Below are 12,161 nucleotides of genomic sequence, written 5' to 3' on the forward strand. Positions count from 1 at the left end.
AAACCCTGTCTCTACAAAAAATACAAAAATTAGCATGACATAGTGGCACATGCCTGTAGTCTCAGCTCCTCGGGGGGCTGAGGTGGGAGAATCGCTTGAGCCCAGGAGGTTGAGGCTGCAGTGAGCAAAGATTGCACCACCACACTCCAGCCTGGACAACAAAGTGAGGCCGTATCTCAAGAAAAAAGTTAAAAACGTAAAAAATAGCTGGGTGCGACGGCTCACGCCCGTAATCCCAACACTTTGGGAGGCCGAGGTGGGCGGATCACAAGGTCAGGCAATCGAGACCATCCTGGCTAACACGGTGAAACCCAGTCTGTACTAAAAATACAAAAAATTAGCCGGGCGTGGTGGCGGGCGCCTGTAGTCCCAGCCACTCGGGAGGCTGAGGCAGGAGAATGGCGTGAACCTGGGAGGCGGAGCTTGCAGTGAGCCAAGGTTGCGCCACTGAACTCCAGCCTGGGTGACAGAGCGAGACTCTGTCACACACGCACACACAAAAAAAACATAAAAAATAAAAAAGACTTGATTCTGTTCAAAATGTACATATTTGAATATGCTTTCACCAAAATAGTAACGTGAACAATAAAAAATTAATATTTTCATATATGTTTACAAAACAACTGTTTGCTTCTATGGCTGTATTTCTATTCCAAATCTTCTATTAAATGAAAAGTACAAACTATAATTAATTAATATCGAATATATTAATTTTATATCAAAATATATTAATTTTATATCAAATTTAAATATAGTTGAAATTTTTAAATTTTATGTCAAAATTATAATTAAATCTTGCTTAAATTTTAACAAAATTATTTGCATTCTCATATTTAATATTTTTCTAGTCAGCAATGTCAAGAATTGGTGTCATTCTTCACATGTTACTTCTACCTGTATATAATGTACACAACTTTTGCATGTACAAAATCTGTATACCTGCATATAATATACACAACTTTTGCATATACAGTATGCAAATCCAAAGACAATGGTTGAATGTTTCAAAATATCCTTCAACTGCCATGTGCAACGTGAATATCATGCTAAATGAGATAATGGTGATGGTTGCATAACTCTAAATATACTACAAATCGTTGAATCATACATTTTTACAAAAAATAAAAAAAAGGGAACTGACTCACTCTTGAAACTTCAGAGTCAGAGTCAGGCTGACCGAGGCATATCTGTTGAGGACTTTCACTCCATCTCTTAGCCTTACATTCAAGTCTCACATAGCTCTCCCCTTGTGATGACAAAATGCCCCCCTCCACACAGTTTCCATCCTGTCCCTCCCATATAGAAAAGCCTGCGCCTTTTCCAGCAACTGAAGCCAAAGTCTCCTTGGCTTTGATTGGCCGGGCTCGGGTTCTATGCCTGGCCTGAAACTGGAGGTAGAGTCAACCCAAAACACAGGGACATGAAGTGGAAGGGGGCTTGTTGCCAGTAGAAAGAGAAGGGATACTGGAGATCCCCTCCTCGCCTCATTATTCTGGTAATAGAACCCCGCTCTTCCCTGAGGAACACGCCTCACCTACATTTCATGGGCCCAGTAGGGTGGCTAAGGGTGGGCCCAACTTGAGATGTTGGCAAGGTTGGTACCCAGCTTCCTGGGCCATTGACTTTCTCCCAGAAATGCCACTCTGGAGTCTCAGAGAGAAAAGGCAACCAGAACGGAGGCATTTCCATGAGACAGTGCTCCCAAGCTCCCGCATGAGAACCAGCATGGCTCCTGCAGAGCTGGCCGGGCTGCCTGGCTGCTGTCCCTCAGTTCTAGGATTGTGCTGTGTCCTCCGCTTTCTGGTTATCTTGAATTGGCCAGAGTTTACCTGTATTGCTAACAAATGACCCTGACTGATAGAGACACCTACCCATACAGTTGCTGCAGATCATTGACTGAGGTAAATATTGTACAACAGTTAAAATGAAAAAAATAAAAATAAAAAAGGATAATTGGCAACATATATGAAGTTATGGGCCCCCCAATTAATAATAGATGTTATTATTGTTGTTTCTCTCCCAAGTGTCTTGAGAACATTATTTTTTCTTTTTAATAGACCTTTTCAGAAAAGTTTTAGATTTACACAAAAATCAAGATGATGGTACAGAGATCCCATATACTCCACACCAATTTCCCCTATTATTAACATCTTACATTAGTAAAATACATTTGTTACAATTAATTAACAAATATTGATACATTATTATTAACAAAAGTCGATAATTAATTCGTATTTCCTTCATTTTTACCGAACGTATTTTTTCGGTCCCAGGATCCCATCCAGGACACCATATGACATTCAATCATCATGTCTCCTAAGTCTCTTCTTGGCGTTGACCACTTCTCAGAATTTCCTCGTTTTATTTATTTATTTATTTAAGAGATGAGGCCCAGTGCGGTGGCTCACACCTGTAATCCCAGTACTTTGGGAGGACAAGGCAGGTGGATCACCTGAGGTCAGGAGTTCAAGACCAGCCTGGGCAACATAGTGAAACCCCATCTCTACTAAAAATACAAAAATTAGCTAGGCGTGGTGACACACACCTGTAATTCTAGCTACTCGGGAGGCTGAAGCAAGAGAATCGCTTGAACCTGAGAGGTGGAGGTTGCAGTGAGCCGAGATCTCACTACCGCACTCCAACCTGGGCAAGAATGAGACTCTGTCTCAAAAAAAAAAGAAAAAAAAAAAGGAGAGAGAGAGATGAGGTCTTGCTATGTTGCTTAAGCTAGCTTTTTTTTTTTTTTTTTTTTTTTTGAAACAGTCTCACTCTGTCACCCAGGCTGGAGTGCAGTGGTGTGATCTTGGCTCACTGTAACCTCCGCCTCTTGGGTTCAAGTGATTCTCATGCCTCAGCCTCCTGAGTAGCTACAGGTGTGCACCACCACACCCAACTCATTTTTCTAATTTTAGTAGAGATAGGGTTTCACCATGTTAGTCAGGCTGGTCTGGAACTCCTGACCTCAGGTGATCTGCCCGCTTTGGCCTCCCAAAGTGTTGGGATTACAGGCGTGAGCCACTGCAACTGGCCTAGGCTAGCCTTGAAATCCTGGGCTCAAGGGATCCACTCACTTCAGCCTCTCAAGTAGCTAGGACTACAGGTGCATGCTACTGCACCCAGCAGAATTTTCTTGTTGTTTTTTTTTTGACAGTGTCAAGGACTACTGGTTGGATGTTATTGTAGGATGAGCCACCATTGGAATCTGTCTGATTTTTTCCATTGAAAGTCTGGAATTATAGGTTATCAGGAGGAGGACCACCGAAGTAAATGCCATTATTCTCATATCTTATCAAGGGCACATACTATCGACCTGAATTGTGACTGTTGGTGTTGACCTAGTTCACTAAGTAGTGTCTGTCAGGTTTCTCCAACTTATAGTGACCCTCCTCACCCTCCCTTGAAAACTGTACACTTTTGGAAGAAGCCACTATGTGCAGCCATACTTCACGAATGAAGAGTGATGCTCCCCCACCGTGAGGGCGGGGTATCCACATAAATAATTTGGGATTCTTCTGCATAAGAGATTTGTCTTCTCCCATATTTGTTGATTTGTTCAGTCATTTATATCAGTAGGGATGGATACTTATTTATTTTGCTTTGAGTAATAATCCATTACTTTATTCTGTTGCTTTTAGGGACATTGTTAATGTCCCAAACACCTTCAAGCCTCACATCATCCATTCAAAATCGAACCAGTGTTTGGAATGGATGAGGGACAGCAGTGCCTCATGGCAGGAAATGAGCCACAGTGACGCACAGAAATCTCTTCCATGCGTGAAAACAGCCAGGTAGGCAGCAGGCCTGGGCAAGAGATTGATGGATCTAGTTATAACACTTGAGATCGCCTCGCATGACTATAATGTTCATTCCCTCATTCAAGCCACATGTGTTGAGCCCCAGGAATCGCTGCACAGCATGCTAAACCCCAGGTTGCTCACAGGCTGGTGGGGAATTATGACACAAAGCCATCCAAGCCATATTGCTGCAGAGGTGATGTTTGCATTGAGTGTTAAAAGTAGACAAGGTCAGGGAAGGACATCCCTGGCAGAAGGCACAGCATGTGTAGAGACACAGGAGTGTGAGATGACATGTCCTTTGGGGAGGAGGGCAGGCTTGGCTGGGTCATTAACAAGGCAGGCCAGACTTGGCCTGCCAGAATGTGGGGCTTGAGATTGTGGAGGAGAGAACAAATGGAATGTGAGTCAGTAAGGCTGCTAGCTACAGAAACCAACCCAAGAAGAGGTTTACTGGAAGGTGTATCAGTAGGATTAGCTTCAGCTGTGGTTAAGAGTCCCAACTACAATAGGGAAAATACAGGGGTTAATTCTGTCACACAAAACCCAGAGGCAGAAAGAAGAGAACTGATCTGGAGGCTCCATTAGTGTATCAGAGCCCCAGACTCTGTGCTTTTGCTCCACCAAACATGACTTCCATTCTCAAGATCATCTCAAGATCTAGGATGGCTGCTAGAGCTCCGGCCATTGCTTCCACGTTCCATGCAGCAGGAAGGAAGAAGGAGGAGGAGCCAAATTGCACTTTCCCGAAGGCTCTACCTAATGCTCTTGTATACATTCCTTAAGCAGGAAGCCGCTCACACGGCCACACCAGCTTTAAGAGAGGATGGGAAATGAAGTCTTTTAGCCAGCAAATCACAAATTAGAAAAAAAAATTGGAGAGAATGAAATTAAGGAAGCACCCAGGAGGATCTGCCACAGAAGGATGCCAGGGGGTACTCAGTGAGTCAAAGGGAAACTGAGGAGCAGGAGATTGGGGACCTTCTAGAAGAACCCCTGCCCTGCCACATATACCACCTGGAATCTGGTCTTTTTTTTTTTTTTTTGAGACAGAGGCTCACTCTTTCACCCAGGCTGGAGTGCAGTGATGCGATCTCAGCTCACTGCAACCTCCACTTCCCAGGTTCAAGCGATTCTCCTGCCTCAGCCTCCCGAGTAGCAGGGACTACAGGCATGTGCAACCTCCACCTCCCAGGTTCAAGCGATTCTCCTGCCTCAGCCTCCTGAGTAGCAGGGACTACAGGCCATGCACCACCACCCCCAGCTAATTTTTGTATTTTTAGTAGAGACGGGGTTTCATCATGTTGGTCAGACTGGTCTCGAATTCCTGACCTCAAGTGATCTGCCTGCCTCGGCCTCCCAAAGTGCTGAGATTACAGGCATGAGTCACCATGCCCGCCCAGGAATCTCTTCTTTCAGTGATCTTGTCTTCCTATCACTGCTCAAGAATGAAACTTCCACCTAGGTGCATTCAATCGGCTGGTGTAGTTCCACGCCCTGGCTGCCAGGAGAGAGCAGGAGAATCCTTGCTGGGTTTCTATAGTGGGAGGAAGAGTCCTGTCCGCTCCCTGGGAGTCTCATACTGGTGGAAGAGGGTTGGTGTAAGGCAGCCACAAGAGACAAGCATCCCCCATGGATCCACACTTTAGTTCATTTTATAGAAATTCTCCATCTCTGAAGGGTCCAGAACCTTCCAGACTGAGCTCATGCTCCATCTTACCGTGGTTCCTCTTGCATTTTCTTCCACTGTCGTTCCCCTCTTCTCTCTTTTTCTCCCACCTCATAGCCGGTGAGATGATGTCAGAGCTGGAGAAAAGGGATGGACATACATTGAGCTCTTACTGTGTACCGCCCTCCACACCAGGTACTCTGCATGAAGCGGTAAGTGTTGGAGCTAGCTATGGTGACTCATGAGACCCGACTGTTAAACACCGACATTTTTAAACAATAAATTCTATTAAAAACAAAGGTGGCCAGGCATGGTGGCTCACGCCTGTAATCCTAGCACTTTGGGAGGCCGAGGCAGGCAGATCACTTGAGGTCAGGAGTTTGAGACCAGCCTGGCCAACATGGTGAAACCCCATCTCTATCAAAAATACAAAAATTAGCTGGGCATGGTGGCGGGTGCCTGTAATCACAACTACTTCGGAGGCTGAGGCAGGAGAATCTCTTGAACGCAGGAGGCAGAGGTTGCAGTGAGCTGAGGTTGCACCACTGCACTCCAGCCTGGGCCTGGGCAACGGAGAGAGACTCTGTCTCAAAAAAAAAAAAAAAAAAAAGAAGGTAAAAAATATTTACAATTCGGCACTCCCTAATTATTTTACTACAAGTACTCTTACCTATGCTCTTGTCTATGGTTATCTATATGGTGGGAATAAAACTGCGTAATAATGAGCTACTATGCCTCCTTCTTCCCAACTCTGCATTCAGTAATGTCACATTGATAGCCTGAAATTGGTCATGGTGGAAATATTTACACTATGGAAACTGACAAACACCATAAATCAGGATTCCCCCCCACCAAGAGCCTGTTGTTAATTTATAAGCATACCATTGTCTGTCCACATGCCATCTCATTTGATAAGATGACACTGTCATGATTTGGAAACAAATAAGACAGGGCCATTTAAAACAAAGCTCCACCTTAGACCAGCAAAATGAAATTCATTCTAAGCACCGATTAATTCTGTGCCTACTTTTTGTTTCCTCTGCCATGAATCTCAATGATCATGACTACAGTCTTTGAGCACCTATTAGATCTCAGGCATGTGAGTTCACATTCTCTCATTGTCACTTACGTATTAGATGTTATTATTATTTCATTTTATAGATTAGAAAACTGAGGCACAGCAAGGTTAAGAGACTGCCTAGGGTCAAACCTTTTCTCCCCTGCCCTAGGTTCTCTTGTCTGGCTTGGTGTGTACCTGCCTCCTTCTAACATGAAACAACCCAGAAGCCAGCAATTATGTCATCTGGCTTGTTGTCACTTTAAATTACAATTGGTCTTCATCTCTACTTCTGCTGCTTCTTCTGAAATGTCATTTTTTCTTTAGCTTGAGCAATTTTCCTTCTCATCTTCTCCAGCTTTATGCTATTGCATTTAACTGTGACAGTGATTAAGCCCTTTTCTTGAAAGTTATCTAGCTAAAGCAAGTGGTCGTTTATAACCTTCACCAGATAATTAATGTGTGTGACAACCCACAAACACTGCACATAGTTTAGCAGCGGGGCTGGGAGGAGTTCATGAGCACCAGAGCTACCAATAAATGACAGGGGAAAAGTCTGCACCCACTCCCCTGAACACCCTAACACTCGGCAGACGCATCGCCTAGTTCCCACAGCATCCTTGTTGTATGAGGCCATTCTCGCATTGCTATAAAGAGATACCGATTCTGCAGGCTGTAAGGAAGCAAAGTGGCTTCTGCTTCTGGAGAGGCTTCAGGAAACTTACAGTCATGGTGGAAGGCAAAGGGGAAGCAGGCCGTCTTACATGCCTGGAGCAGGAGCAAGGGTGGGGGGAGATGCTACACAACTTTAAACAACTAGATCTCCTGAGAACTCAATCAGGAGACAGCACTAGGGAATAGTGCTAAGCCATTAGAAACCGCCCCCATGATCTAGTCACCTCCCACCAGGCCCCACCTCCAGCATTGGGGATTACATTTCAATATGAGATTTGGATGGGGACACAGATCCAAACCATATCACTTGTCAACAGTGTTGGTAACCAGGATGGTCACCCAAAGGGGGAGACTGAATGAAGCAAGGCAAGTGACTCAATTGTAGTATCCAGCAAATAAACACCAGAGCCGTGTGGGCACTGGAGTTCTAGGCAGAATCCAACTGAGAGTGTGGATGATCTCACGCTGGATCCGGCATCCCTGCAGTTTTCCGCAGGCAGGTCTGAAACCATCGGCGATTGCTCCTTAGCTCGGCTCCCTCTATCCTGTCCCCATGCTCCCGTTACCAGGTTGGAACCGACTCAACCCTCATTCAGCAGCAGCCCATGCGGGTGCCAGTGCCCACTCCCCTGGTCCCTGAGGCCCTTCTGAATCTGGCCTCTACCCACTGCTTTAGCCGCCTCCTCCAGCCCCCATAAACTCTCAGCTCCACCCCTCAAAGTCATCTCCCACCCCTCTCAGCTCTTCTGCCTCTGCTCAAGCTGCTCCCGCTGCAACAAAGGCCCTTGGCCCATTCCTAGGCCTGGCCCGCCCTCCTCACCCATCTTTCTCAACTCTGCTCAGTTGTCACTTCCTCCAGGAAGCCCCCAGCTCAGGTTCCCCAGTCTGGGTGCAATGCTGTGCTCTATGCTCCCAAAGAGTCCCCATGTCTAGCTCTGTCATCCTTTGTTTTAATTATTCTCTTGCCCCCTCCCCACCCCTAGGTTCTACCCTGGGCGTTCCTAAAGGCAGGGAATGTTTTTATTTTTCTTAACTGTCATTTGCACCCAGCATGACATGCCTGGCACCCAACCCCCCAAAGACAGTAACACTCTGCAGATGATATCTAGTCTTTCTTACAGTGTTTCTAACCAGTATGATCATACTAAGTTGGAAACTGAGGCATAGCAAGGTAAATGACTCACTTGTGGCATTCAGCAAATCAGCACAGAGGCACGTGGGGAATGCAGGAGATCTGGGCAGAACCTGGCTAAGAATGTAGATTACCACATTCTGAATTCAGTGTTTGTTGAGTGACTGGCGTGATCTCAGCTCACTGCAACCTCTGCCTCCCAGGTTCAAGAGATTCTCATGCCTCAGCCTCCTGAGTAACTGAGACTACTGGTGCCGCCACCACGCCCAGCTAATTTTTTTTTGTATTTTTTAGTAGAGACAGGGTTTCACTATGTTGGCCAGGCTGGTATCAAACTCCTGGCCTCAAGTGATCCTTCCACCTCAGCCTCCCAAAGCGCTGGGATTACAGACGTGAGCTGCTGCACCCCGCTGTTTTATATTTCTTGACTTGCCTAACCTGTAAACTCCTTAGGATAAGAAGGACTTAAGCTTTCTAAAATTGAGACTTGTTTGCAGCCCAGAACCACCTCCACCAGGGGCCTAGTAACTCTGGGTTTGCCATGGTTGGTAATTGCCATCTCCACCTAGAAAAAACCCAGGTGACTCAGTGGGGTGGAAATGCAATCTATGCCTCAGAGACAGGAAAAGCAGCAGCTCTCTGGTTTTTGGTGAAAAGCCATCGCAGGCTTTTCTTTGCCTTGGAGGAAAGAATACAAGAATACAGAGCTGGGAGTCATAAGCCGGTTTGCCCTCTTCAGCCTCACTTTCCTGGTCTGTCAACTATGAACTCACAAAAGGGTGACATTTAGCCTGTGACAGGCCATTAGCGGTCCCCACCGACAGCTCTCTCCGTGGGCAAGGATGAAGCCTTGTTTGCACAAGAAGTGCAAAGCTGGCAGTGGGTGCTCAGCAAATAAATCATTTTGCCTGTTTTAACACAACGCTTTGGGAAAATTCCCTGCCTCCAACAGAGTGACTTATAGTAGCCAGCAGATTTTGAAGACAAACAAATTGCAAGGCACTTGGTGTTACGAACCAGCTGAGATTTCATGTAGATGAGACCAGAGCCCCAGATCATTCTGTGAGAAGCAGGCCTGGCCAAGGCACCCTTGACAAGGGTGTTGGGATCAAAGGATGCTGAGTTAGGATCATGGCAGGCACAAGGTGCCGGTGAATGAGGGGTTGTAAGGCAAGAATTTGATCTCAAACCCAGCCAGAACACTGTGTACTCATCACCCTTCGGAATCCTCCTTTGGTGGGAGTGGGTGGCCTGTACTGAAATGTGTGGATTTGTTTGTATTTCTCAAAAGAACATAGGATTTGAGAGCTGGAAGGGATGTGTCAGCCTATATTCCCTTTCTGTTCACGGATATGCCAAGTCGAGGTTTCTTGTTCAAATAAACATAGTTGTTTGCCTTAAAGGGTTGGGAGGCAGAAAGCGTGCCCAGCTGTGGACACCACCCTCCAGGTCATCCCTGAAGATGCATGAGTTCTGGCATACAGATAGCACCTACTGCACCCTGCTGTCTCCCTCCAATTAAGTCCAGGTACAGGTATTCACTGAGCACCTACTATAGGCTGAGTGCTAGGCTGCATGCCCTGGAAGAGCAAAGAAGCAGAGGTCACTTAGGCTCCAGTAGAGCATTCACCAGGTGCCAGCAGAGCCCAGAGGCCTGTGCAGACCACAGTGTGAGCTTCAGGGGTCAGGACTGAGGAGGTGCCGGGCCTCGAGGGGCAAGGAGTGATGAGGGCGTGGCCCCAGGCCCAGCTTTTCTCCCCTCCTTCTGGGCTTCCTGCACTTCTGATGATTCTCATGCAGTCTCCTTGGTCACCCTGCCCTGATGGCTCCCAAATCTGGACCTTGGGCCACATCTCTGCCCAGAGTTCCAGACCCAGAGGTCCAGCTGGTGTCTCAAGCTCAACATGCTCAACATACCCCAAAGAGAAGGCCTCCCCTCTTCCACCAGGCTGCTCCTGCTCCTGGAACCTGTACCCCCACCCAGAACCTCCCCCAGCTCTTCTCTCTGCCCCCATTCCCTTCTTCCAATCAGCTACCAGTCCCTGTCCATTCTACCTCCTCAATCTTTTCTAGCCCATCCCCCCATGATCTCCTTCTTTATCGGTGCTGTTCTAGGTCAGGCTTTCTTCCCTTCTGTTGGGTGTTATGGTAATAGTTTCCCAGAATGGCCTCTTGCTCCCCACAAGCCATGCTCCAAGAGCACAAACTCCTGTTCAGACCCTCGGTGGCTCCTCATCACCTCCGAAAAGGTGAAGAAGCCAGGCCCACCAGGCAAAGGCCACCCACGCAGGGCTGCCCTAGTTCCTGGGCTACCTGAAGCCTAGTTCTTGGCCCTCCCTTTCACTGTGAGAGCTAACCTATCTACATCTGTCCAAGGCATCCCTTTTGAGCTAAAGTCAGCCAGAGTTCGTTTCTGTTGCTTGCACCCAAATCACATGACTGATCCCTCCTCTCAGGCCTTCTGTGTGCTGGCCCTACTGCTCGGCGTGCCTGCTCTGAGCCTGTCCACCTGGTGAGTCACGACGTGTCCCTGAGAGATTCCAGAGGTCCTTACTCTCTGTTCCTGCTCTTTCTGGTACTCCCCTTAGGACAGCGACAGTCACGCCATGTCATGCCTGGGTCTCAGAGGCAGAACCTGGGAGCCTGGGCCCGCGGGACTCAGTGGTAGGGTCTCTGTCTCTCTCATCTGCCACGCCCCCTTAGAAGCCCATGTGTAGCCCCGTAAGGACACCCGCTCCCCAGCCGCTGCTGGGACACGTTTAAGAGAAGAGACGGCGGGTGTGCGCCACCACCTTCACCACGTCGTGTCTCGATCCTGGACAGAGCGTCAATGCCCAGAGCGTTTTCTCTCCCACAGGAAAGGGACAGTACTCACTGCCTGTTACCAAACTCTGCTTTCTCTTCCCAGAACGATGGTGAATCCGCACTTTACTCACGTGGAACCAGGGTTAGGGTGGGGTGGGGGAGAGCACACGTCTTAGAACTCCAGGCAGCTGGCAGGGTGCCATGGCTCACGCCTGTAATCCCAGCACCTTGGGAGGCCAAGGTGGGTCGATCACCTGAGGTCAGGGGTTTGAGACCAGCCTGGACAACATGGCGAAACCCCGTCTCTACTAAAAATACAAAAATTAGCCAGGCGTTGTGGCGCACGCCTGTAATCCCTGCTACTTGGGAGGCTGAGGCAGGAGAATCGCTTGAACCCAGGAGGGGGTGGGCCTGGGCAACAGAGTGAGACTCCCTCTCGAAAAAAAAAAAAAAAAAGTATCAGACAGCCATCTTAGCTCTGCTGTTTCCTTGTGTGTGACCTTGGGCAAGTCACCTAACTTTTGTGAGTCTTGATGGCTTTGTCTGAAGAATTAGAAGGGTGGTGCTTCCTGGTAGAACTGTTATGAAGAGCAACAAGACCCATGTGTGCCATTCACAGCGGGTGTTTGATACGTGACCATCGTTAGTAGTCCTCGGTAGATGGGAATGCTCCCCAACTGTTCTCAAACTCCCAAGTGTGAGCGAAGGGGAGCATTGCTCTGACCTCTCCTGTGCCATCTTTTTGGGGGACCAGCTTGTCTGATCTGGGAACCCTGAGACTGGGCGTCGGCACTGGGCATGCTCAGCCCCATCGGCCCTTTCCCTTACCAGCCTGCCCTGTCCTCAGGTTGCCAGCCTTGGTGGAGGGTGAGGGGGACACAGGGAGCTTCCACAACAATCCCCAGCAAGCCTGCAGCAGGAGGCATGCTGAATTCTTATGGGGGTGTATGAGTGTGGCTGTGAGTCAAGCCTTCTTCTCAAATTCAGCCCAAACGGTGATAAAGCTGATCTTCAGATCTCCAATTTCCT

The 12,161-nt window shown here is 47.7% G+C and overlaps 2 annotated features.

Moving 5' to 3' along the window:
- Nucleotides 7,271–7,832: an enhancer, noted in NCBI's record as "H3K27ac-H3K4me1 hESC enhancer chr8:142026737-142027298 (GRCh37/hg19 assembly coordinates)". NCBI's record gives its function as "activates a minimal SCP1, AML or CMV promoter by ChIP-STARR-seq in naive and primed H9 embryonic stem cells {active_cell/tissue: H9 hESC(naive and primed)}" and the evidence as "EXISTENCE:reporter gene assay evidence [ECO:0000049][PMID:30033119]".
- Nucleotides 11,439–12,150: an enhancer, noted in NCBI's record as "H3K4me1 hESC enhancer chr8:142030905-142031616 (GRCh37/hg19 assembly coordinates)". NCBI's record gives its function as "activates a minimal SCP1, AML or CMV promoter by ChIP-STARR-seq in naive H9 embryonic stem cells {active_cell/tissue: H9 hESC(naive)}" and the evidence as "EXISTENCE:reporter gene assay evidence [ECO:0000049][PMID:30033119]".

This window comes from Homo sapiens, chromosome 8 (genome assembly GCF_000001405.40).
Source record: "Homo sapiens chromosome 8, GRCh38.p14 Primary Assembly".
Lineage (NCBI taxonomy): Eukaryota > Metazoa > Chordata > Mammalia > Primates > Hominidae > Homo > Homo sapiens.